The sequence below is a fragment of the Homo sapiens genome, chromosome 10 (genome assembly GCF_000001405.40).
Source record: "Homo sapiens chromosome 10, GRCh38.p14 Primary Assembly".
In the NCBI taxonomy this organism is placed as follows: Eukaryota; Metazoa; Chordata; class Mammalia; order Primates; family Hominidae; genus Homo; species Homo sapiens.
In genome coordinates this window covers 97,474,289-97,500,316 of record NC_000010.11, presented here as the reverse complement: position 1 = coordinate 97,500,316, position 26,028 = coordinate 97,474,289, and the positions used below count along the sequence as shown (strand labels likewise).

Here is a 26,028-nt window from a genome sequence, read left to right as displayed (position 1 = left end):
CAAGGGAGACAGGAAACTCCAACTAGAGTTTCCACTTCATTAACAACTCTGCCTGTGGCTCCTCTTACATAAGGGGATATGTGGCAATGGGGTGGGAGAGGAGGCTGAGTTCTAGCCCCAGGTGAGCTCCTAACTAGCTGTGTGACTTTGGACAAGGTGTTCAACCTCTCAGGATCTGGGCTTTGACACAGAGTAGGAGATGGGTCCATCTGGAATCCAGACAAGTTTGAGCTCTCAAGTCTACGATATTATTCCCAGCGGGTCCTTGCAACACCCTCAAAGAAGGAAGTGAGTGTAAGACCCAGAAAAATGACCGACAGACCTCTTCCCGGGGCGAAATGCCAGGGCAGGCGGGGTGTACCATGAAAGTGAGAAAGCGTTGCGCGGGCCTGGAGGATCACCAGCGAGCGATCTCACTCCCAAAGCTGGGAAGGATCCCAACAATCCCAAGGGTGACTCTCACCCCGCACCCCATCTTTTATAGACTCCCAGACGGCCGAGAGGCTCTAAAAACCCCTGCGGGAAAAATAAAGATTTCTTTCCCAGAGTCCTGCGCTGCTTTGCAAGTCGGATTCCCGCAGACACGATCTGCAGCTCGATAATGACACAGTCTTTGGAAGGAGCGACTGTTCTCGCCTCGCTCGCTCCGAGTTCTGGGGACGCCTGGCTGCCCGCGCCGTGCCCCGACGGGCCGGCGTCCGACCCCGGCCGGAGCTGCCAGGCCAGCGGCGCCCTCGCCCCCGGCCTCCTCCCGATCCGTCGGCCCCGCTGCGGTCTGCAAACATTTCCTGCCCCCACCCCCACCAGGAGCTACCCAGTTGGAGAGAGTTGGTCGCGCAGCCGGCTCAGTGCTCGCAGTTGCCCCAACTCAGCTCCCCCGGCCGCCCGGCGCTGGGGAGCGGCCCCCTCTGGCTGCGGAGCAGCCCATCGGGGAAACCCAAGCGCCAGCACCAGTGGGGAGTCCATCGGTAAGCCCAGGACTCGGGCGAGGAGGGGGACAACTGGCGGGATGCCCGAGGCCCTGCTCCCTTCCCCATCGTTACCTGCTCGCTTGCGGGGGTGTCCCGGGGCTGCCGGCCTCTCCCGGCGCTGTCTCCCCACGCAGTTGCCCATGCTGGCTCCTCAGCCAGTCCCCATGCACCGGAGGCGGCGGGGTGGTCGGCTGCTCAGCGGACGGCGGCGTCCCGGGTCAATGGCTCCGGCCGCCCGGCATCGGGCGCTCCCCGATCTCCCCCCGGGGGCGCGCTCAGCCCCAGCGATGGCTCCGCCAAAACTTTGCGGGCCAGGGGAGAGAGGGAAGTGGCAGACTCCCCAGCACGGTCCCAGGTGGCCGGGCCAGGGGGGCCCGCGACGGTGCCCGGCCGGAGACCAGCTCCGCTGGAGGGGCGGAGAGAGGGGGCGGGCACCGCCGCAGCTACTCCCGGCTCGCTCGGGGCACCAGGCAGGGGCCGGCCCCCTGGAGCCTGTCACTCACCTGCCTAACCCCGCCCCAGGCCGGCCCCTCTCCCTTCCGCCGGCTCGCGGTGCCCGCGCCGCCGCCACCACCCGCCCCAGGTGCGCATGTGACCGACAGCACCGCCCCCTAGGGCTGGGCCTGATTTTCTCATTGGCTTCCCCCGTGGTGCGTACCGCCCCTCTCCCCACCCAGCCAGGTGCCCGCCCCGCAGCCCGTCTCCCGGGGAGCCGGGCTGGGAATTATTCGCCCTCAATCGCCTCCGGCTGCGTGCCCAGCAGCCGCCTTCCCTCTCGGTGCCACCGCCCCATTTCAGGCCCCGCCCCTCCCTGGAACTGCCTAGGCAGAAGCCGGCAGGCACGTGACCCCGGCGCCCCGCCCCCTTGCGCTTCCCCGGAGATTGGCTCGGGAGGCGCATGCGCGGAGAGCCCGTCTCGAGCCACCGCCCATATCCCCTCCCACGGTCTCTAGTTCGCGTTATGGCCGCTGCCGCGGCTGTGGAGGCGGCGGCGCCTATGGGTGCCCTATGGGGCCTCGTGCACGACTTCGTCGTGGGTCAGCAAGAGGGCCCCGCTGACCAGGTGGCTGCAGGTACGGCAGACGGCGCCGCGCGCCTTCCGCATGGGGGCCAACAGGAGGGAGCGGCCTCAGTACAGGCGCCGGGCGGGAAGGGAGGAGCGGGGTGACTTTGAGAGATTGGTCTCAAGGCTGGTTAGTGAGCACCGCGAGGTTCAGAGCCGTAACAAGTTAGAGAGTTGCCTGTGTCTTCCTTAAAACCATTTACACTTCTCATCTCCCTGTAGCCAATTATAGGGAATCATTACATTTTACAGATGAGGAAACTGAGGCTCAGCGAGGGCAAGAGGACTTGCGCAGGGCTGCAGACCAGGCAGGAGGGGGAGGTGGGACTCGGACCCAGGCGTTCAGGTCCGAACCGGGTGCTCACGCCACGAAGCCATGCTGTTTGTGGGAGGTTGACGTGTGGAGGTGCATCCTCGCAGCGTCCGCTCCCGTCGCGTGGCATCCTGGGAGTGGCAGATGGCCCCGCGCTCTGACTGGCTGGAATTAAGAGGAGTTGAGGAGACGGGCCAGGAGGAGCTGGAGATGTTCTGGGTGTCCTCCTTAAGACTTTCTCTCCGTTTCTTGCTAAAGTTCTTGATTAGTTTGCTCCATGACGTTTTATGTGGCGTTTGTTTTTGTCTTCTTCCCAGACCCCCACTTTCCTGCTTTTGACCAGTTCAGAGATCTCTTAGTTCAGACAGCTTATCTAAAATTAGAATAAAACGATTTCCAGGCTTCCGTGGAGTTCTGAGACTTTGCTCTTCTAGGAAAAAAAAAAAACTACTAAAAAGTTATTGAATGTTAGGAGGCCTTCAGATCTTGGGTTTAAGTAACAATATAAAATTATCTAATGAGTAGTTTTTTTAAAAAAACTTTGGAAATTTCGTATGCTTGGAGAGAAGTAAGGACACATTTCTCTTGGATATTGAGCGTATTAACCTTTAGAATATGTAAGAAAAGAATAGTGAATCTGCTAGAAATATAATACTTTGTTCGTTAGCAGTATTCCACTTTAATTCAATCATGCCACTATTGTTGAATACATATTATTCCCCAAACATGATGCAAAGCAATAGGAATATAAATACAAATTAGGTTAGATCTGTGCCCACCAGGAACTTATAGTATGCTGGGAGAGGCAACCATTCTGTAAGAGGTGTGTGCAGCGTAGTTTGGAAGCATCAAGGAGCAAATACCTGGTGCTGCCACCAAACTTAACATCTTACAATTTTATGAAATGTAGTGTGTTATCAGTGTTTACAATTTACAAGTACAGTGTCTTACCAATGTCATTTTCCCTCATATTTTATTATGAAAATTTTCGAATATCCAGCCAAGTATAAAGAATTTTATAAGGAGCACATCACTTAGGATCTATCCTACCATTAACATTTTAATATTACTTGCTTTATCATATAGCTATCCATCCATTTAAATTGCAGATACCTGTACACTTTCCTTTAAATACTTTGGCATGCATGTCATTGACTAGAGTTTGTTGACGGTTTATTTTGATGTAAAATGGAATATATAAACCTTTAAGTGTACGTTCACTGATTTTGACTAATGCATACACCTATACAATCCAACCCCCTACGAAGATATAGAACATTACTATATCAGTGTCATTTGTGATGAGTCTTTCACATTTATGCGATACGAAAACAATAATTTTGGATTTTTTTTTGATTCAGAACATATTTTGAAAAGACATCTTGAATGTCTTATCTTGAATAAGGACTTATCTTGAATAAGGACTGCAAATTCTTCTCTTTTTTTTTTTTTTTTTTTGAGACAAGGTCCCTCTCTGTCTGCCAGGCTGGAGTGCAGTGGTGAAATCATGGCTCACTGTAGCCTCGACCTATGCTCAAGCAATCCTCCTGCCTCAAGCCTCCCGAAGTAGCTGGGACAACAGGGAGTGTGCCACTGCGCTCGGCTAATTTTTGTATTGTAGTGACGAGGTTTCACCATGTTGCCTAGGTTGGTCTCTAACTCCAGGACTGAAGCCATCCTCCCATCTCAGCTTCCCGAAGTGCTGGGATTACAGGCATGAGCCACTGGGACTGCTAAATTCTTACAAACGTTTTTGCAAAATTTATATTTTTGTTTCTTTCTGAAAAAAAATGGTCTAAACTGTTGCTTAATTTGAATTCAACTCAACTGATTTAAGACTGTAACACTAGCCCTGTTGTAATTTAGCCCTCCTAAGAAAAGAAAGTTGGTGGTGGGCACAGTGGCTCACGCCTGTAATGCCAACACTTTGAGAGAACAAGGTAGGCGGATTGCTTGAGCCCAGGAGTTTGAGACCAGCCTGGCCAACATGGTGAAACCCCGCTCTACTGAAAATACAAAAATTAGCCAGGCATGGTGGTGCATGCCTGTAATCCCAGCTACTCAGGAGGCTGAGGCTGGAGAATCGCTTGAGCCTGGGAGGCAGAGGCTGCCGTGAGCGGAGATCGCGCCCCTGCACTCCAGCCTGGGCAACAGAGCGAGACTCCGTCTCAAAAAAACAAAAAGAAAAGAAAGTTGGTACAAAGGAATAGTAACAGATAAAAGTTGAAAAGGTTTGGTAGGGTTGGATTGTGTATAACTTTGGATTCCAGGCAGAGAAATTTGAATGACCTGTTATCTGTACTAAGAGTTGTTGTAGATCCTTGAGCCAGGGAGCCATAAAATGAAAACAAATTTGACAAGGATTAAGTTAATATTGTCAATCTTAGATCACAGCCCTAGTTAGGGTTGTTGAAGGATAACAGAGTGTTGAAGCGTTTATAGAATAAGATGTGCTTTCTAATCTTTCAGCCTAAATCAAGCTTTGTTAGCGCTAAAGGGACCAGCTAGCTTCCTGTTCAGTCACTCAGAGTAGCAGCCTGCAAATTTAAATGCAGAAGGAGCACCCTTTGATCACAAAAGCAGCTGCTGCCACCTTTGTTTTGTACCTGGGTTCCTGGTGAAAGTGTCAGCTGTAAAGAAGCTGCAGGCGATGGGAGGGAAATAACCTGGCAGCCTAAGGGTTAAAGGCCTCTTGGGCAAGCCTTCAAAGCCTGCCACTACCTGGCCCCAGCCTTTTTTTCTCACTGCTCCCTGGACGTTTAATTCCAGGCAGCCACCTTTATTCGTAGTTCCCTGAGTGCTTTCCTTCCCAATTCCCTTCACTAGCTCTGTGTAATCGAAGTTAGACCTGAGAGTCAAGGCCCAGCTTGAGTTCCCTACCCCTCCCCAAGGGTTTCCTGATTAACCCAGCCAGACAGCATCTCATACGTCAGAATCTTTGTAGTACGCACTTATTTCTCAACCACTCATGTATTTAGTGGACTAGTTTAGTAGCTGTTGCTGTATACATCTCCACATCCTACCCTCCCAGTTGTACCACCAGAATCTCCTGAAATTGGCATCAGTAGGTACACAATAAAAACTGCTTGAGTGAATGCAATGAGAAATGTTGAAGGAAGAATCTGTGGAATTTGAGTTCTAACTAGTTATTATAGGGCTTGAAGGAGATAGAGGACTCTAAGAAGACCCCAAGGTTTTGAACCAGAGGATGAGGAAAAGAAATACTTTGTCCAAAATTAGGACGAGAGCTGATTTTCAGAGAATGTGATTTTTGAACACGTTGAATTTGCAGGTGATGGATATAATTTTTTTCCTTTTAGTTATTTGGATTTTCCTTCATTTCAGTCTTTATTGTATTGTGTTTTTCCATGTTTGTGATTCCCTAAGAATACCTCTATTCCTTAAGTCAAAGTATTAAAGAACAGTAAAATACAGTTTAGTGAAATATCTGAGGCATTATCAGCAGAAAGGGCATTTTGAGAGCTTGATTGGAACTTAGTCCTGATTGGGATTTTTCTCTCTCCTGCTCCTTCTCATCCTCCCACCCTACCCGCTTCCCCTCACTTCCCTTTGGCTGCTAGTCCAGATTCTCAAGAGGCTTCAACTCCATCAGACAGAGATCTGTTTGTGCATTCTGTGTCAATGATCACATGAATACTCCTTTGACTTCTCAGTGCCCCCACACAAACTGGTGCCTTGCTAAGGAAAGTGTGGGTAGTTAGGAGGTGCTAGTAGGTCCATTTTTAAGAGCAAATCTTGAACGTGTTGGAAAATCTTAGACCCTCCTATAAAGGGAAATGAACTTACACTGATTTTTTCCTTGATACCAGCGAAAATACCGTTAGGAAAATTAACTCTCTGTTAGCTTTCTTCATCCCAGGAGTCCAAGTGCATAATTAATAGTATTTCCAGGTATTACGGGTGTGTTGTTGTTGTTGTTTGTTTGTTTGCTTTTGAGATGGAGTTTTGCTCTGTTGCCCAGGCTGGAGTGCAATGGTGCGATCTCTGCTGACCGTAACCTCTGCCCCCCAGGTTCAAGTGATTCTCCTGCCTCAGCCTCCCGAGTAGCTGGGATCACAAGCATGCATCACCACACACGGCTAATTTTGTATTTTTAGTAGAGATGGGGTTTCTCCATGTTGGTCAGGCAAGTCTCTAAACTTCCGACCTCAGGTGATCTGCCTGCCTTGGCCTCCCAAAGTGCTGAGATTACAGGTGTGAACCACCATGCCAACCCTGGTTATTTTTAATTTTGGATAATTTGCACCATTAAAAGAATTAATCACTTAAAGTTAGTGGCCCATGGTCCATAAACCCAGGAATTTTACTTCTTTCTCATGCCAACCCAATCTCTGTTTATATCACTGTGGTAACACAGAACTTGTTACACTGTGATTGTTTTATTTATTTATTTTAGAAGCAGGGTCCACTCTGTTGCCCCAGCTGGAGTGCAGTGTGACCTCGAAGAACTTCTGGGCTCAAGTGATCCTCTGGCCTCAGCCTCCAGAGTAGCTGAGACTACAGGCCCGTGCCACCACACCTGGCTAATTTTTTTGTAGCGAACAGGGCCTTGTTTTGTTGCCCAAGGTGGTCTCCAACTCCTGACCTCTAGCGATCCTCTAGCCTCAGCCTACTGTGATTGTTTTAAATGTCTTTCTGGGCTAGGCATGGTGGTTCATGCCTGTAATCCCAGCACTTTGGGAGGCTGAGGTGGGAGGATTGCTTGGGCCCAAGAATTCGAAACCAGCCTGTACAGTATAGTGAGACCTTGTCTCTACAAAAATCTTTAAAAATCAGCCCAGCATGGTGGTGTGCCTGTAGTCGCAGCCACTTGGGAGGCTGAGGTAGGAGAATCACTTGAACCCTGGAGGGAGAGGTTACATTGAGCCAAAGATGGCACCACTGCACTCCAGCCTGGGTGACAGAGCAAGACTCTGTCTCAAAAATGAATAAATGAATGAATGTTTGTCTTTCTGCTCCAACAGACTATGGACTTCCCCAAAACTCCCTGCCCATATTTCTATCTTAAGCCCTAACATGGTACCCTATTTATAATATTCAGTAAATGTTGAATGAAAACGAACATATGGCTTTTTTTTTTTTTTTTTTGGGAGATGAAGTCTTGCTCTGTTGCCCAGGCTGGTGTGCAGTGGCGCGATCTTGGCTCACTGCAACTTTAGCCTCCTGGGTTCAAATGACTCTTCTGCCTCAGCCTCCGAAACAGCTAGGATTACAGGCCCATGCCATCATGGACAGCTAATTTTTCTATTTTTTTTTTTTTTTAGTAGAAACAGGGTTTCATCATGTTGGCCAGGCTGGTCTCAAACTCCTAACCTCAAGTAATCCACCTGCCTCGGCCTCCCAAAGTGCAAGGATTACAGGTGTGAGCCACCATGCCTGGCCACCATCTTCCTTACTTTTTTTTACGGTCTTGTAATAGCTTTATTATCTCATTTTTCTCTAATTTTTTCTTTCTTTTCTTTTCTTTTTTTTTTGAGACAGAGTCTCACTCAGTCGCCCAGGTGGGAGTGCAGTGGCTCCGTCTCCACTCACTGCAAGCTCTGCCTCCTGGGATCACACCATTCTCCTACCTCAGCCTCCCAAGTAGCTGGGACTACAGGCGCCCGCCACCACGCCCAGCTAATATTTTTGTATTTTTTTTTAGTAGAGACAGGGTTTCACTGTGTTAACCAGGATGGTCTCAATCTCCTGACCTCGTGATCCGCCCGCCTCGGCCTCCCAAAGTGCTGGGATTACAGGCGTGAACCACCGCGCCCGGCCTCATTTTTCTCTAATTTTTTCTACTTTTATACTTTTTTTTTTTTTTTTTTTTAGATTGAGTTTCACTCTGTAGCCCAGGCTGGAGTGCAATGGCATGATCTCAGCTCATTGCAAACTCTGCCTCCCAGGTTCAGGTGATTCTCCTGCCTCAGCCTTCGGAGTAGCTAGGATTACAGGCATGCGCTACCACACCCGGCTAGTTTTTGTGTTAGTAGAGACAGGTTTTTGCCACGTTGGCCAGACTGGTCTCAAACTCCTGACCTGAGGTGATCCACCCACCTCGGCCTCCCAGAGTACTAGGATTACTGGCATGAGCCACCGTGCCCGGCCTTATAGTCACTTTTATGTTTGTGCTGCATTAATTCAAGAATTTTGTGAAAGCTATATGAAGACTAAAGGGCTTTGCCAGGAGAGTTCACCCACATACTGGGATTCAAGGAACCACATGCAAATGGCTATTTATTTGTAATTATAAAGCAGCCATTTTCATATTAATGTATGCAGAATGCCAAAGAAGCATTTTTCTTTTTTTTTCTTTGAGACGGAGTCTCGCTCTATCGCCCAGGCGTGATTTCGGCTCACTGCAACCTCTGCCTCCCAGGTTCAAGCAATTCTTCTGCCTCAGTCTCCTGAGTAGCTGGGACTACAGGCGCATGCCACTACACCCAGCTAATTTTTTAATTTTTGGTAGAGATGGGGTTTCACCATATTGGCCAGACTGGTCTCGATCTCCTGACCTCATGATCCACCCACCTCGTCCTCCCAGAGTGCTGGGATTATAGGCGTGAGCCACCACGCCCGGCCTTTACCTCAATTTTTTTAAAAAAATGAAAAAATAGAAGGTACTGAATGGGCCCTATTTGGCACTTCTTGTCTTAGAGCCTTCGTTCCAAATATAGACCCTAGCCTGACATCCACAGAGGGTTTTGATGGTATTGCTGAAGAAAAATGATTCAGTTCATTGATATCCTTTGCTATTAACAGTTGTTAGTCCCCTATGGCTTCATCTGTACAATTATTAACTCCTTCTGTGCCCATTATTGAAATTAGTTTTTAGATGGGTTGTTTCAGCAGAGTTTTCTGTACTATAGCCAGGCTGTTCCAAGAAAGTACCCTTTTCTACCTTCCCAAATGTTGCAATGCCCTTTTGTGGTTCGTAACCCAGAAATAGGTGTTTCAGTTCATGTAAGTGTTGCCATTAAGGAATTGGGTATAGAACCCAACTTGGTTTGTTTGGCCTGTTAGTCTGGCTGCTACCCCTTCCCCCACCCTTACAGTCTGCTCATTTTTTCCCTTGGCTCTTTCTCAGGAGCTGGGGCAGCAGCTGGGCCTTCCACATCCTGGCACAAGTGGGCTAAGAGTGCCTGATGTCTAAATTGGTGCCAGTCACGAGCTATAAGTCCTAACTAGAGCTCTCATTTTCCTCAGTCTCATTGGACGACTTCTTACTGTGGTGCTAGAGTGAGCCTCTGCCCAGGTCAGCTCATAACTGTTGCTGTGAGACCACAGACTTTAGGAGAACTGGAAGTTTAGGATTTCTTCAGACCTCTCTTTCACTTTTTCCAGCATTGGCACAAGCTGACTAGTTAAGGTTCTGCATTTAGAGGTAGGTGGATTAGGAACCCAGAACAGGCTGCTGGAAGTAATTCTCTGGTTGTCACACCTTATTTAGCTATAAGTGTTCAATGTGAACCAAAGCCTTATGAAGATTGTTAGCCTTTTACCCTGTTTCTCCCTTGAAAATACATTCTAAGATGCTTCTCTTCAATATATGTGAGTTACTATTGTGCTGCTAAAATTGCATTTAAAGGCCAGGTGCAGTGGCTCACATCTGTAGTCCCAGCACTTTGAGAGGTCAAGGTGGGTGGATCACTTGAGCCCAGGAATTTGAGACCAGCCTGGGCAACATGGCAAAACCCTGTCCCTACAAAAAAATACAAAAATTAGGCGGGCATGGTGGTGCATGCCTGTAGTCCCAGCTACTCGGGAGGCTGAGGTGAGAGGATCACTTGAGCCTGGGAAGTCGAGGCTGCAGTGAGCCATGATTGTACTACTGCACAGAGCTAGACCCTGCCTCAAAAAAAAAATCCAAATAATATAGGTAGATACTCCTCCCTCCAGGAGGTGGAGTTTAATCTTCCCCTCCCCACTGAATGTGAGCTGGACTTAATGAATACCTTACAAATAAAAGAGTACCAGAAAGAGAAAAGTAGTAACTATAGTGCAGAGACCTGGCAGACATACCTTAACCAAGTGATAAACATTAACATTGCCAGTGATGGAGAAGCCATGTTACTATCTTATATCCCTGATATGATATGTTGAGAAGGGTACTTCACCTCTGTGATATTCTTTTTTAAAACCCATAACCCCAGTCTAAACATGAGGGAAACATCAAACAAATGCAAATTGGGGAACCTTCTATAAAGTACTTCTTTAAAACTATCAAGGTCATGAAAAACAAGGAAAGACTAAGAAACTTTCACAGACCAGGAGAGACTAAGAATTCAAGATGACTAACTGCAATTTGGTATTCTTAATTGGATCCTGGAACAGAAATTTGGCATTAGTGGAGAAACTATTGAAATCTGAATAAAGCCTAGAGTTTAGTTAATAGTGTGTATCAGTGCTAACCTAATCTCTTAGTTTTGACACTCGTACATAGTTTCACAGATGTGTGCCATGTAAGACGTTAACATTAAGAGAAACCGAGTGATGGCTATACGGGAACTCCGCACTGTCATTGCAACTTTGCTATAAATGTAAAATTATTCCAAAATGAAATATTTCTTTTAAAACAATAGTCTACCTCTCAACCCTTAACTATGCATTTTCCCTCCCTGAAGGCAACAAATGTTATTAGTTCCTTTTATATCTTCCAGAGATGTAAATAAATGCAAATAAAAACAATCCCCCCTCCCTTTAAAAACAATGCTACGCACATATTATATACACTGTTTATACACACTGTTATTTTAGATCTTGACTCATTATCAGTATATATGTAGCTTCAGTCTTTCTTCATTTGTCTTTTTAAAAGTAGCTACAGGCCCGGTGTGTTGGCTCATGTCTGTAATCTCAGCACTTTGGGAGGCCAAGGCAGGCGGATCACTTGAGCTCAGGAGTTCGAGACCAGCCATAGGCAACATGGCAAAAGCCCCATCTCTACTAAAAATACAATCCAGCCTGGGCAACAGAGCAGGATGCTGTCTCAAAAAATAAAAATAAAAAAGATTAAAAAATAAATAAAAGTAGCTACAGAGAATTCCATTGTATGGATGTACTATAATTCATTTAACTGGTTTCTTATTGATGGGCATGTGTTGTTTGCAGTCATTTACTGTTACGAATAATGCTGTATTGAATAACGTTATACATGCATTATTTTGCACTTTCACAGTACAGTTAGCCCTCCATATCTGTGTGTTCTGCATCCTTGATTCAAGCAACTGCAGGTCAAAAGTATTTGGGGGAAAAAATAGCAACTGTACCAAACATGTATAGACTTTTTTCCTGTCATTATTCACTAAACAATACAATGTAACAACTATTTGCGTAGCACTTAGATTGTATTAAGTATTATGAGTAATCTAGAGATGATTTAAAGTATACAGGAGAGTGTCCATAGTTTGTATGCAAATACTCTTACCATTTTATATAAGGGTCTTGAGCATCCACAGATTTTAGTATCCTCAGGAGGTCCTGGAGCCAGTCTCTCATGTATATACCAAAAGATGACTAGATAGCTAGAGGATAAACTTCTAGCTTTCCTGGGTTAAAGCCTATATGTACCTGGAATTCTAAAGATGTTATATTGCCCTCAATATAGGGTTGCACCAGTTTATAATCCTACCTACAATGTTTAAGAATGTCTGTTTCTGAATATCATGACCAAACATAATATATTGCTAAGTTTTTTGTCTTTGCCAGTCTGTTAGATTTTCTTAAAAAGTTTCTGTGTAGTTTAATTTACATCTTTTATTGTAAATATGGTTGAGCACCTTTTCGTACATACTTGTAGTTCCTTTTATGTGGAATGCCTGTTCATTTTTTTGTTTTTGCCCATTTTGTTTTTTTAATTTTATTTATTTATTTATTTTGAGACAGATCGTCACTCTGTCACCCAGGCTGGAGTGCAGTGGCACGATCTCGGCTCACTGCAACCTCTGCCTCCCGGAATCAAGTGATTCTTGTCCCTCAGCCTCCCGAGTAGCTGGGATTTACAGGCATGCGCCACCACACACATGTTTTGCCATGTTGGCTAGGCTGGTCTCAAACTCCTGGCCTCAAGCAATCTACCTGCCTTGGCCTCCCAAAGTGTTGGGATTACAGGCATGAGCCACTGTGCCCAGCCTGTTTTTGCCCATTTTAAATTGTTGCCCTTTTCTGCATTGATTTGTGGGAACTCTTTATATATCGGGAAACTGGCCTTTTGTTATAAGACTTGTAATTTTTTTTCCCAGTTTGTCCTATGATCATTATTTTTGCCTTGTAGAAAATCTGACTTTTTAAAACCAATCTTTTAGGGCTTCTGAATGTTATCTTGTTCTTAGAAATTTTCTCATATTTAGGCCAGGCGCGGTGGCTCACGCCTGTAATCCCAGCACTTTGGGAGGCCAAGGCCAGCAGATCATGAGGTCAGGAGATCGAGACCATCCTGGCTAACACGGTGAAACCCCATCTCTACTAAAAATACAAAAAAATTAGCCGGGTGTGGTGGTGGGCGCCTGTAGTCCCAGCTACTCAGGAGGCTGAGGCAGGAGAATGGCATGAACCCGGGAGGCGGAGCTTGCAGTGAGCCGAGATCGCGCCACCGCACTCTGGCCTGGGCGAAAGAGCGAGATTCTGTCTCAAAAAAAAAAAAAAAAAAGAAATTTTCTCATATTTAAAAAACATATTTTGGTGAAAGATTTAAAGCCAATGTTTTTGTTTGTTTTCCAAATTGGTTCCAGGACAATCATTCTAACACTATTGAATAGTCTTTATTTTTCCCATTAACTGAAATAGGATTTTAAAAATCATATTCTCATATGTATTTGTGTCTCTGGACTTTCCATTCTATTTTTGCACCACTGATTTCTTTGAATATGAATTGAAACTGCACTGGTTGTTTTTTATTTTTATTATGGAAAATTACAAGTATATTCAAAAGTGTATACTTTTTATTTTTCTTTTTTTTGTTGAAAGTGTACACTTTTAAAATGTGACCATATAATAATCTCTTAATATCTGGAAGGGCTACCTTCTCCCTGATTTTCTATTACTCCTTTTCACAACTTGCCTGTCTTAATTTTATATATATATATATATATATATATATATATATGGCACTTTAATTTCAGGATAAGCTTATCTAGTTTCCAAAAGTATTCTGTTAGTGTTTTTATGGCGATTATCTTAAAATTACAGATTGATTTGGGAAATTTGTCATCTTGAGTCTTTCAAAGATATGAGATGCCTTTCTATAAAGTTTCCTTTTCAGATCTTCATTAGTGCTTGTTTTAAAAAACGCTTTTACCAATTTCTCCCCATTTTCTTCTGTACTTTGCAGCCACCATTCTACTCTCTGCTTTTGTGAATTAAACTTTTTTAGATTCTCCATATAAGTGAGATCATAGGATACTGTATTTGTCTTTCTCTTCTGGCTTACTTCACTTAGCAAGATGTTCACCCAGGTTCATTTGTGTTGTCCCAAGTGGCAGGATTTTGGCCTGGCACAGTGGCTCACGCCTGCAATCCCAGCACTTTCAGAGGTTGAAGTGGGCGGATCACCTGAGGTCAGTAGTTCAAGACCAGCCTGGCCAACATGGCGAAACCCCATCTCTACTAAAAAATAAAAATTAGCCAGGCATGGTGGCATGCGCCTGTAATCCCAGCTACTTGGGTGGCTGAGACAGGAGAATTGCTTGAAACAGAGAAGTGGAGGTTGCAGTGAGCTGGGATCACACCACTGCACTCCAGCCTGGGTGACAGAGAGACCCTGTCTCAGAAAAAAACAAACAAACAAAAAACACCAAGTGGTAAGATTTCTTTCTTTCTTATAGCTGAATAGTATTCTGTTGTATATGTGTACACACACGTCACATTTTCTTTATTGATTTATCTGTTGACACTTAGGTTGCTACCAGATCTTGGCTACTGTGAATAATGCTGCAGTGAACATGGGAGTACAGACATCTCTACAGATACTGATTTCATTTCCTTTGGATATGTACCTAGTAGTGGGATTGTTGGGTCATATAGTAGTTCTATTTTTAATTTTTTAAGAAACCTCCATGCTGTTTTCCATAATGGCTGTACTAATTTACATTCCCACCAACAGTGTACAAAGGTTACCTTTTCTCTCTCTCTTCACCAGCACTTGTTATCTCTTGTCTTTTTGATAATAGCCATCCTAGCAGGTATGAAGTGATATCTCACTAGTGCTTTAAAATTTTCATCGTCTAGGTGCGGTGGCTTATGCCTGTAATCCCAGCAATTTGGGAGGCAGAGGCGGGTGGATCACCTGAGGTCAGGAGTTCAACACCAGCCTGGCCAACATTGTAAAGCCCTATCTCTACTAAAAATACAAAAATTAGGGCCAGGTGCAGTGGCTCATGCCTGTAATCCCAGCACTTTGGGAGGCCAAGGCGGGCGGATCACGAGGTCAGGAGTTCAAAACCAGCCTGGCCAACATGGCAAAACCCCATCTCTACTGAAAATACAAAAATTAGCCAGGCGTGGTGGTGGGCACCTGTAATCCCAGCTACTTGGGAGACTGAGGCAGAAGAATTGCTTGAACCCGGGAGGCGGAGGTTGCAGTGAGCCAAGATCATACCATTGCACTCCAGCCTGGGTAACGAGAGCAAGACTCCATCTCAAAAAAAGAAGAAAAAGAAAAGAAAATACAAAAATTAGCCAGGCGTGGTGGCAGGCACCTGTAATTCCAGGTACTCGGGAGGCTGAGGCAGGAGAATCGCTTGAACCCAGGAGGTGGAGGTTGCAGCAAGCCGAGATCACACCATTGCACTCTAGCCTGGGTGACAAAGGCGAACTCCATCTCAAAAATAAATAAATAAATAAAATAAAGTTTTCATCATTCAGATTTTCACATTTTTTATTAAGTTTATGTCTAGGTCGCACGCAGTGGCTCACATCTGTAATCCCAGCACTTTGGGAGACTGAGATGGGAGGATCATTTGAGCCCATGAGTTCAAGACCAGCAACATGGTGAAACCCATCTCTACAAAGAAATACAAAATACTTAGCCAGGGGTAGTGGCACATGCCTTTGGTCCCAGCTACTGGGGAGGCTGAGGTGGGAGGATCACCTGAGCCTGGGAGGCTGTGATTATACCACTGCACTCCAGGGTTCAAGTGATTCTCCTGCCTCAGCCTTCTGAGTAGCTGGGACCACAGGCACATGCCACCACGCCTGGCTAATTTTTTGTATTTTTAATAGAGACAGGGTTTCACCGTGTTAGCCAGGATGGTCTCGATCTCCTGACCTCGTGATCTGCCCACCTCGCCTCCCAAAGTGCTGGGATTACAGACATGAGCCACCACACCCGGCCAAAACAAAAGTTTTTATGTAGTGTATTTTACCATGATTTTTAAAAATGAGTGAAAAAGTTTATATCCAGGTATTTTTTTGGTTTTTCTTTTTTCGCTATTATAAACAGGGTCTTTTTCCTTATATCATTTTACAGGCTATTGTGTATATGTATATATATGAAGGTTTTAAATTTCATAATATTTTGTATCCAGCTAATTTAACAAATTATTTTGTTTGTGATTTTTTTATTTCTCTTGGATTTTCAGGATATACGCTCATGTCATTCACAAATGATATATTTATTTTCTTTTCAATTTTTATACAAAGCTGCATATTTGAAGTGTTACAGCAATGCTGCTTCTCATCTAGGAGGGCTCTTGGCAAATATAGTGGGCCCCCAGGTACAAAGCCTAGGGCAGGCAGGAAACATTATAATTAGTGTTATTCAACCCTTTGGTAGGTTTTTTTTTTATTTTTCATATTTATTTATTTTATTTCCTGCAGATGTGAAATCTGGCAACTATACAGTGTTACAAGTTGTGGAAGCCCTTGGGTAAGAGCCTCTGCTATAGAATGTTCTTCTCCAACCCTGACTGTGTATTCTGAAAAGTTACTTTTGCGCATTGCTGCTTTCCTGGAGCCTGAATTTGTCTTGTAGCCCAGCAGCCCCCTTCCATATTAGTACCTCAGTCTAAGCCTATATGTTTGAATTGTTTCTCCTGAAAAAAGTTTCATGCTGTCTGGCTGAGGCTTCTTTAGTATTTGGGAGCACACAGCCTGTAGGCCACATCAACTCCTGGCACAGCCCATGGCTTTGGGATGAGGTACGTGGTTGAAGGCCATCAGCTGTTGTTGATTCCTTTGTGCATCTGTAGACCCACCTACCTCCATGGGATGCTAGCCTGCCTAGACCTGACTCAGAACAAGCTGTGGGCCCTGTGTGGGGAGTTCCCAGGAGGCTGACCCTGCTGCAGATCCCTACTAGGAGGAAAGGCTTTGGGAAACAGCTGATAAAGCAGTGTTACAGCTTGGGATTCTAAGCACTTAGAGGAAGTACGTGCTTGTAGTCTAATGCCTACTTTCCTCGTATTTCATAATTGGTATAGACCATTTAAATTGACAAGTCTTATTAGTAAGAGTTGTTAATTGTGACAGCATGTCTTCTAAAACAGAAAACTAGAAAACTGGGGGAAATTAAAAAACAAAGTCACTGTTACACATTTCTCCCACATAACAGACTATTTGACCTTTCTGCTCACATTGTGGTGGCCTTGGTCCATTAAAAAAAATATATACAGTATTGGCTGGGTGCAGTGGCTCATACCTGTGATCCCAGCACTTTGAGAGGCCGAAGAAGGTGGATTGCCTGAGCTCAGGAGTTTAAGACCAGCCTGGGCAACAAGGTGAAACCCTGTCTCTACCAAAAATACAAAAAATTAGCTAGGCGTGGTGGCATGCGCCTGTGGTCCCAGCTACCCGGAAGGCTGAGGTGGGAGGATCACTGGAGTCTGGGAGGTGGAGGTTGTGGTAAACAGGTCATGCCACTGCATTCCAACCCAGGTGACAGAGTGAGACCCCCATCAAAAAATATATATAGGCCAGGTGCGGTGGCTCATGCCTGTAATCCCAGCAGTTTGGGAGGCCGAGGTGGGCGGATCATGAGGTCAGGAGATCGAGACCATCCTGGCTAGCACGGTGAAACCCCATCTCTACTAAAAATACAAAAAATTAGCCGGGCATGGTGGCGGGCGCCTGTAGTTCCAGCTACTTGGGAGGCTGAGGTAGGAGGATGGGGTGAACCCGCGAGGCGGAGCTTGCAGTGAGCTGAGATTACGCCACTGCACTCCAGCCTGGGTGACAGAGTGAGAGTCCATCTCAAAAAATATATGTGTGTGTGTGTGTGTGTGTGTGTGTGTGTATATATATACACACACACACACACACACACAGCCTTATTGATGTATGATTCACATATCATAAAGTTCACCATTTTAAAATGTACAATTCTGTGGCTTGTAAAAGTATATTTACAGATTTGTGCAATTCTCAGCACAGTCATTTTGAGGACATTTTCATTACTCCAGAAAGAAACCCATGCCCATTAGCAGTCATTTCCCCTTCCCTCTTCTTCCCAACCCCCAGCAATCACTAATCTACTTTCTGTCTTCTATGGCTTTGCCTACTCTGGAAATGTCATATAAATGGAATCACACACGTGACCTTTGTTGCCAGCTTCTTTCACTTAGCATGTTTTTGGGGTTCATCCATGTTGCAGCACACATCAGTTCTGCATTTCTTTTCTTGCTGAATAATATTCCCGTTTTATGGATATGCATATTATTTAATCATTTATCAGTGGACGGACATCTGGATTGTTTCCACTTTTTGGCTATTCCTAATAATGCTGCTATGAGCATTTGTGTGCCTTGTTCCATTTTTAAATGCTCCAAATGCATAATTTTCTTTTTTTCTTTTTCTTTGAGACAGGGTCTCACTCTGTTAATCGAGCTAGAGTGCAGTGGAGCGATCATGGCCCACTGCAGCCTCGATCTCCTGGGCCCAAGCCATCCACCCACCTCAGCCTCCCAAGTAGCTGGGACTACAGGCTTGTGCCACCATGCCCAGCTAAGTTTTTGTATTTTTTGTAGAGACAGGGTCCCACTATGTTGCCCAGGCTGGTCACGACTGCCGGGCTCAAGTGATCCTCTCGTCTGTCTCCCAAAATTCTGGGATTACAGGTGTGAGCCACCACACCCAACCTGAATGCACAGTTTTCTACTTCCTGAGTAGAAACCTTTCTACAGGTTTTTATCCTGGGGATCCTGTTAAGAGTGACCTTATTTTTTTCCCCTTACTCTGAGTTATATACACTCTTACCCTTGAGGTTCAATACAACTGTCATGGCCAGAACTCTTCCACTTTCTGCTTGTTGCTGCTTAGATTATTTCTAGTATGTTTCAGTATAATCTCCGTAGAGCAATTTTGAGGATAAGTCACTTCCTTGTTGCTTCAGTCCAGCTTCTCCTATATCAATAATCCTACCTAGTTAACTAGTTAAAGCTATATTCTGGCCCTCTTACTTTGTAACCTTCCAGTTATAAAGTTTTGGTTTTTCATGTTTTCTTTTACTCTAGGAACTTGGTGGTGATTCTGAGCAATTTTTTTTCCTTAGCATTAATTTACAGAAATACACGTATTCTCCTTGTTTTGGTGGAAGCTGCAGCTGCCAATCATCTCTCAAACCCTGTGGGTAGCTGCTAAGCTGTATTTCAGAGGAATGTCACAATCATACCACTGGGGAGAAAGAGTAAGCACAGTGCTTATTAGGTGCCAAACTGGGGTACCTGGAGGCAGAAACCTCTGTTGGCTCTTGGTGTCACGTGTGCCTCTAAATGATGCCACTTCAGTCTGAGGATCGCTCTTAAGCCTTCTGTCCTTACTGGTATCTGTAATGCCGTTACCTCAGGAACACCTTCCTGGGCTGTTTTTACTCTTAACAGGGCTTGGCTCTGCTTCCATGCCCAGGGGGTGAGTGTGACTAATGTAAAATGTTTATTTCTTCAAACATTTGAACTGGGTAATTGCAGGTTCTCTCTATCCTGTTTTCCCCTAGGTCCTCTCTAGAGAATCCAGAACCCCGAACTCGGGCACGAGCAATCCAGCTTTTGTCACAGGTGCTACTCCACTGTCACACCTTGCTCCTGGAGAAGGAAGGTACTGGTGTCACTAATAGGAATGTCTTCCTGGATTGCTGAGCCCAGGTCTCCCATGTCTATTCAAGCCAACTTTACAGGCAGGGAGGGAGGGCTTAAAGTATCTATGAACTACTAATTCAAGGTCTTCATTCCTCACTGGTATATGTGGCAGAGATGATTAGAATTGAGACACAAGACACATGGATTTCAATATAAAACGTTAGCTGGGCATGGTGTTGGGCGCCTGCAGCTACTTGGGTGGCTGAGGCAGGAATCGCTTGAACCCAGGAGATGGAAGTTGCAGTGAGCCGAGATCACGCCACTGAACTCCAGCCTGGATGACAGAGCGGGACTCCATCTCAAAAAAGAAAGACACATGGATTTCAAATGTAGCCTTAGACTGTTTTTTCAGTGTATTTTTCCCACTCCGTAAAATGAACAGAGCAGTATTTCATAGGTAAAGATGAAAAGTAATGAAATATCGGCATGCTTTGAGGTCCTGAGGGGGAAAAAGGACAACAACTTATTTATCTTGTATAGCAGGGGTAGGCAAACTATAGCCTGGTTTTTTTGTTTTGTTTTTTTTGTTTTTTTGGTTTTAAGGAGCAGAGAGTTTAATAGGCAAGAAGGAAGGGAGGAGGAAGAAGCTCCCCTGTACAGAGACAGAGCGGGGCTCCAAAGCCAAGAGAGGGAACTCCGCCTGCCACAGATACCAGCTAGGTAATATATCCAGAAGCTGGAGGAGGCGGTGTCTGATTTGCATAGGGCTCGGGGGATTGGTTTGACTAGGCATGTCATTCACATAGCCGGCAAAAAAGCTGGCCCTCCTACCCGAGCCTTTTAATATGCAAATGCAGGGCACCATGATATTCTACACATGTGGGGATACATGGGGGCAGCCATGTTGCCAGGAAGGTGGGGAAAGGGCAGGAACGCCATGGGAATCGCCATATTTGGGTGGACCCAGTTTCTAATGGATTTCATTTGCATATCAAAGGTTGCGGCCTGGCACTAAGAGCCAGGGCTTTACAGGAAACTTTTCTGGAGATGCTTTTAAAAACAAAAACTTCCCAAGGACCCCTTTTCCTCTCTATTTGCCTAAAATAATTTCTTTCTTTTTTTTTTTTCTTAACTGTTCAAGGTTTATTGGGGGTTTTAGTTGGTATAACACTTGGATAGTTGGTTGCATTGTTTATATGTAGATGTTTTTACATTATATGGTAATGTACACTACTGATATAGTTCACAAAATAAGATCCTTTGGAAGAATTATGCACAAGACATATGATATTAGATTTATACACTGGATCCCAGGATGTGACTGATTGGGAAAAAATGTTGGACTAGGCATGTTCAGTGAAGGAGCCAGGAAGTTATATAACACACAGTAAACATCCACCTGGCTCAAGGGGCAAATGCAGCACGTAATAATTTCTTAATAACTCCTACAACATTCCCCCCTGTAGAGATGCCACACTAACTGCTGTTACGGGGTTTGGGGTGATGACTCCTGGCTACTTCCTACTGAAAAGGGGCGTCGAATGGGGAACAGCAGCAAGGGCTCCTCCTGGGGTTGATCTAAGGGTCCTCACAAGAATGGCGTGTCAATGTGAGGTTCAGTTTACAGTACCATTTGGAGTTTGATTGCTTCAGTCTGATGAACGAATTTCCTTTCCCAGCCAACACACCAAAATGATACGGCTCCAATGAGTGGAGGAACACCAGGGTTCTTGGTCCTCATGCTGGTTTAGATAAAACGACACCGACACACATGAAGTGGTTTTAAGTAGCGGAGAGTTTAATAGGCAAGAAGGGGCAAGAAGGAAGGGAGAAGGAAGAATCTTCCCTGTATAGAGGCAGAGGGAGGGAGGGCTCCAAAGCCAAGAGAGGGAACCCCTTTTATTTGTTTTTTGGAGACAGGGTCTCACTGTGTTGCTCAGGGTGGCCTTAAACCTCTGGGCTTAAATGATCGTCCCACCTCAGCCTCCCTATAGGCAAGCACCACATGCCCAACCTACAGCCTGTTTGGGGGTATATGTGTGTGGGTATTTGTGTTTAGTATAATATCATCTATATAAATTTAAAAATAGATACACAGAAAAAATAATTTATGTCACACATTAAAAAAAACACATCATACACCTGTTTTTATAAACTTTTATTGGAACATAGCTACACTCATTTATTTCCCTGTTGTCTATGCTACTTTTTTGTTAAAACAGCAGAGTTGAGTAGTTGGGATAGAGACCATACCCTGTAAGCCTATATTTACTGTCTGACCCTTTAGGAAAAAATTTGTGAACTCTAGTTCTGTAGAAAGGCAGTTTTGGGCTGAGAATGGGTTTTACTGTGGACCTGTATGAGAATGGATATTAAGAAATGTTCCCCTATTTTCCCGACTGATCAGGTGTCTACCTTCAAATGGGAAGGCACAGGACATGTCTCTTGGTGAAAGAGAAAATTTGTAGTGGAACCCAAACAGAAACAACTGTTATAGACTTAGGGAAGGAACAAAGCTCTTGGGCCCTTCTCGTGCCTATGTCAACTAATGGCTGAATCTGGTTTGTGCAGTGGTACACCTGATACTGTTCTATGAGAACCGGCTGAAGGACCATCATCTTGTGATCCCATCTGTCCTGCAGGGTTTGAAGGCACTTGTGAGTTTTCCTTCATTTCATTACATAACTTTGTTCAAGGGAGCCCTTGTCTAGTTCTCTCCTTGCGCTTTGGGTGTGATGGTTCACATGCTGAGGAGCAGGTGCCCAAGTGTGGGACTAAATTAGTGTTACCAGCTCTACTTCCGTTTTCCCTCTAGAGAGTAAAAGTGTACTTTGGGGGACTGGAAACCAGAGCCATCTGGAAAGAGCTGCAGAGAACTCATCAGCTTGAGAAAGAGTCTCACTATTAGTGCTTCTTCCTCAACCAGGATGCTGTGATTCTTACAGTAGCTAATTAGGCCTGTCGTAGGGTTGTGTCTTGGAGGCCATGCTGCAATTCCTTCGGTATTCACGTACCTTCTCCTCTCCCCCAGAGCCTGTGTGTGGCCCTGCCCCCAGGGCTGGCTGTTTCTGTGCTTAAAGCCATCTTCCAGGAAGTGCATGTACAGGTGAGGGATAACAGTCATGTTGGTATTCTCCTCTGTCTCTACCCCTTGACATAACTGGGATTCAATAGCAAAAATTATTGCCTTCTAAGTTCTGAATTCTTTTGGATCTTGTGAATGTTTTTATGCTCTTCTTCAGTATGTTTATATGCTCATCTTTGTTATTGGACAAGGAAAGGGGTGCATGCCATTAGATCTGACCTGTGTCCTCTTATACCTACAGAAAGTAAGGCATCCCTCTGTCAGGCAGGTTTGAATTATTGGCACCACTGCTGTGCTGCTGAGTCAATATCCATACCCTTTCTCTGTAGTTTCTCTTAGATTGATCTTATGCTGGTATAAAGAGCACTGTTCACTTAGAGATTATGAAGCAGGAACTAGCTGTGTCAGCTGAGGTATTCTTTGAGCATTTTCTTCACTTCTTTCTCCCCCACCCCCAAGTCCCTGCCACAGGTGGACCGACACACAGTCTACAATATCATCACCAATTTTATGCGAACCCGGGAAGAAGGTAAGAGACAGAGCTTTCTGGGAAATGTCAAAAGCAAGCACATCCTACTTTTTCCCCTATTAGTAGGACTCATTTTACCTGGGGTTATATAGAAGAGCTGGTATCCTGAGAGAGAATGATAAAGGGAAAGAGGGGGTCTGCTCCCTCCCAGTGAAGTAAAGAAAGGGTAGAGTTTGTTTGAGCCAGTGTTTTAAATTCTTGCCTCCACAGCAATGTGTATATTGTTGCACATCTCTTCACTGAGTACTTTCTTGGAATGGAAAAAGGGTCAGCCCTGAAGAGAAAGGGGAGGCAATGATAGCAGAGGGAGAACACAGGCTAGGAGAAAGCCCACACTTTCTGTGCTGTGGGACAGTATAGTAACCTTATTCTCTCCTTCCCAGAGCTAAAGAGCCTAGGAGCTGACTTCACCTTTGGCTTCATCCAGGTGATGGATGGGGAAAAGGATCCCCGTAATCTTCTGGTGGCCTTCCGCATCGTCCATGACCTCATCTCCAGGGACTATAGCCTGGGTATATCGTGGTAGCCATGATTAGCTCATTGGAGCTTTATCAGATGAGTGAAGCTGATAAACCAACCTCATTTTTTCTCTGTTGCCACAGGACCCTTTGTGGAGGAGTTGTTTGAAGTGACATCCTGTTATTTCCCTATCGATTTTACCCCTGTAAGTAGCACCTTCATTGTTTGATCATATATTTATTGAGTGTCTGCTATGTGCCAAGCCCTGTTCTGGGCACTGAGGGTACAGGTCACCAAAATAGACATCCCCGCCCTCATTATTTTATATTTTAATAAACTAGGAAATGGAAAAGCATTTGACATATGAGGAATGATTCAAAGCAGCATGTATTGGGGGGAATTCTTAAGCTCCTTAACACTGTATTTAGTGCTGAAGGCTACAGGATTGCAAAACACTGTCCCTGCCCTTGAAGGCTGAAACATTTAAGTAACAATAGGAGATTAGGTAGGAAAATGAGTAGTACTATAGCTGTTCAGAGAAGACAAAAGTTCAGTGTGAGCTAGAGTAGGCAGGAACTGACTTCACAGTTAAGATAGGATTTCAGCTGGTTTGTGAGGGATGCAGAAGATATGATTCTGGAGTTGGACAGGGCATCTCAGGCTATAGAAACAAAGTGACAAAACAAAGAAGGCACAATTGTGCACAGTGTACAGAAGGTATTTGCTCTGACCCTCTTGGGCCTTCCTCCCATTCTGCAGTTGAGTTCCCTTCTACTGCCAAATACTCAAGAGTTTCATCACCGTGTGGGTGTGTGTGCTGCAAGCATTAGTGGTTTGAAAGAAATAAAAGGCATTCTATTGCAGCATGCCAAACAGCATATTGACTCTCACTGCCTTTATAATGACACCACCATCTTTGCTGTAGGGAATTTCTTACCAGCTTATTTCAGTTGACATTATGTTACTGGGGACCACCTGTCTCCTGAAATGAATCTTTTTATCTCTTTCATAATCAGAATTCTTATTCTAACCCTATACCCTTGAAATCTTGAAAGATCCTGGTTTAGCTCCCACATTCTTCTGTTTTTACTTTGGTTTTTTTGGTGTGTGTGTTTCTTTTTTGTTTGTTTTGGTTTGGTTTTTGCTTTTTTGAGATGGAGTCTCGCTCTGTCTCCCAGGCTGGAGTGCAGTGGTGCGATCTCAACTCACTGCAACCTCTGCCTCCTGGGTTCAAGCAATTCTCTGCCTCGGCCTCCCAAGTAGCTGGGATTACAGGCGCCCGCCACCATGCCCGGCTAATTTTTTTTGTATTTTTAGTAGAAATGGGGTTTCACCATCTTGACCAGGCTGATATTGAACCCCTGACTTCGTGATCCAACTGCCTCGGCCTCCCAAAGTGCTGGGATTACAGGCGTGGGCCACCATGCCCAGCCTTTACTTTGTTTTATTTTGTGTTTTGTGTTGGTTTTGAAAAGATAATTCATTCACATGATTCAAAGTCCAAAAGGGTGAGAAATCTCCCTACCATCTTTTTTTCTCCATAATCAACCAAGTTATCAGTTATGTTTGTATCTTTACAGAGCTTTTTCATCTATATGTAAGCAAATGCTTTTACCACCACCCCCCTAAAATCAATGTGTGCACATGCGGGCATGTACACACACACACACACACACTTCTCCTGTACTTTGCTTTTTTCACTGAACACTATGTCTTGGAGAGTGTTCCACGTCAGTATATAAGTTAGCTCTTTCATTCTTTATGGCTGCATAATATTCCTTTGGCCGGAAATAATGAATAATTTCACTAGTCCTCTGTGGATTGTTGCTAATCTTTTGCTGTTATGAGCAGTGCTACAACTTTCATACATATGAATATAATGATAGAATAAATTCCTAAAAGAAATCGCTAGGTCAAAGAATATGTGCATTTATAATTTGGGGGAGAGGAACAGTATTTCATCCATTTTTTTGAAAGGTTATACAATGAGCATGATTCAGCATTTAAAGGGTAGATAATTAAACTTCTTTCATACCCCTTTACTGCTACTGTCCATTTTCCCATTAGAAACAATCACTGTTCACAGCTGTTTATTTTCACAGAGATAATCTAGGCAAAATAAACTTACAGATAATATTAGGAAGATTTCTCTCATTCAAGCAGATTTTTGTATGTTGTTCTGCACTGCAGTCTATCAGAAGCAGAAAGCTCTTATCAAGATATTAATTAAAACAGAGACACTTGGCTTTAGTGTAACTATTTGAGTTACAAATACTCTTTATTGTCTTACAAATCAGGGTTTTTATTGTTGTTGGTTCTGTTCTGTTTTGTTTTGTTTTTCAGACAGGGTCTCACTCTGTTGCCCAGGCTGGAGTGCAGTAACACAATCCTTGCTCACTGCAACCCCTGCCTCCGGGGTTCGAGTGATTGTTGTGCCTCAGCCACCTGAATAGCTGGGATTACAGTACGTGCCACCATGCCTGACTAATTTTTTTTTTATATTTTTTAGTAGAGATGGGGTTTTGCCATGTTGTCCAGGTTGGTCTCGAACTCCTCACCTCAACTGATCTACCTGCCTCGGCCTCCCAAAGTGCTGGGA

General features: G+C 44.7%; 2 protein-coding genes across 22 annotated transcripts in view, besides 5 other annotated features; one reads left to right on the top strand and one right to left on the bottom strand.

The window, feature by feature from the left end:
- UBTD1 (ubiquitin domain containing 1) overlaps window positions 1-1,393 on the bottom strand; it is a 72,283-nt gene extending 70,890 nt beyond the window's left edge. The window contains exon 1 of the mRNA NM_024954.5: window positions 1,044-1,393. Within this exon, the coding sequence (NP_079230.1) occupies window positions 1,044-1,113 (70 nt within the window). The 5' untranslated portion in view covers window positions 1,114-1,393. The remainder of the gene's footprint in view (window positions 1-1,043) is intronic.
- Window positions 774-973: a silencer, noted in NCBI's record as "silent region_2680". NCBI's record gives its function as "represses an Ori minimal core promoter by ATAC-STARR-seq in GM12878 lymphoblastoid cells {active_cell/tissue: GM12878}" and the evidence as "EXISTENCE:reporter gene assay evidence [ECO:0000049][PMID:35858748]".
- Window positions 984-1,743: a silencer, noted in NCBI's record as "silent region_2679". NCBI's record gives its function as "represses an Ori minimal core promoter by ATAC-STARR-seq in GM12878 lymphoblastoid cells {active_cell/tissue: GM12878}" and the evidence as "EXISTENCE:reporter gene assay evidence [ECO:0000049][PMID:35858748]".
- The window catches only part of MMS19 (MMS19 cytosolic iron-sulfur assembly component), a 40,471-nt gene continuing 15,965 nt past the window's right edge, over window positions 1,523-26,028 (top strand). For 5 of the 21 annotated variants that reach the window (XM_017016521.3, NM_001330128.2, XM_006717944.5 and 2 more), the window contains exons 1-8: window positions 1,895-2,044; window positions 16,166-16,214; window positions 19,275-19,375; window positions 21,928-22,013; window positions 22,388-22,462; window positions 22,901-22,970; window positions 23,354-23,482; window positions 23,573-23,634. In XM_017016521.3, coding sequence (XP_016872010.1) covers window positions 1,933-2,044; window positions 16,166-16,214; window positions 19,275-19,375; window positions 21,928-22,013; window positions 22,388-22,462; window positions 22,901-22,970; window positions 23,354-23,482; window positions 23,573-23,634 — 684 coding nt within the window. In that variant the 5' untranslated portion in view covers window positions 1,895-1,932. Of the gene's footprint in view, window positions 1,622-1,894; window positions 2,045-16,165; window positions 16,215-19,274; window positions 19,423-19,959; window positions 20,077-21,927; window positions 22,014-22,387; window positions 22,463-22,900; window positions 22,971-23,353; window positions 23,483-23,572; window positions 23,635-26,028 lie in introns of those variants that run through there. The other 16 variants (XM_017016519.3, XM_017016516.3, NM_001351356.2 and 13 more) reach the window with 9 other exon arrangements.
- Window positions 1,984-2,153: an enhancer, noted in NCBI's record as "active region_3852". NCBI's record gives its function as "activates an Ori minimal core promoter by ATAC-STARR-seq in GM12878 lymphoblastoid cells {active_cell/tissue: GM12878}" and the evidence as "EXISTENCE:reporter gene assay evidence [ECO:0000049][PMID:35858748]".
- Window positions 2,240-2,770: an enhancer, noted in NCBI's record as "NANOG-H3K27ac-H3K4me1 hESC enhancer chr10:99257304-99257834 (GRCh37/hg19 assembly coordinates)". NCBI's record gives its function as "activates a minimal SCP1, AML or CMV promoter by ChIP-STARR-seq in naive and primed H9 embryonic stem cells {active_cell/tissue: H9 hESC(naive and primed)}" and the evidence as "EXISTENCE:reporter gene assay evidence [ECO:0000049][PMID:30033119]".
- Window positions 2,514-2,563: an enhancer, noted in NCBI's record as "active region_3851". NCBI's record gives its function as "activates an Ori minimal core promoter by ATAC-STARR-seq in GM12878 lymphoblastoid cells {active_cell/tissue: GM12878}" and the evidence as "EXISTENCE:reporter gene assay evidence [ECO:0000049][PMID:35858748]".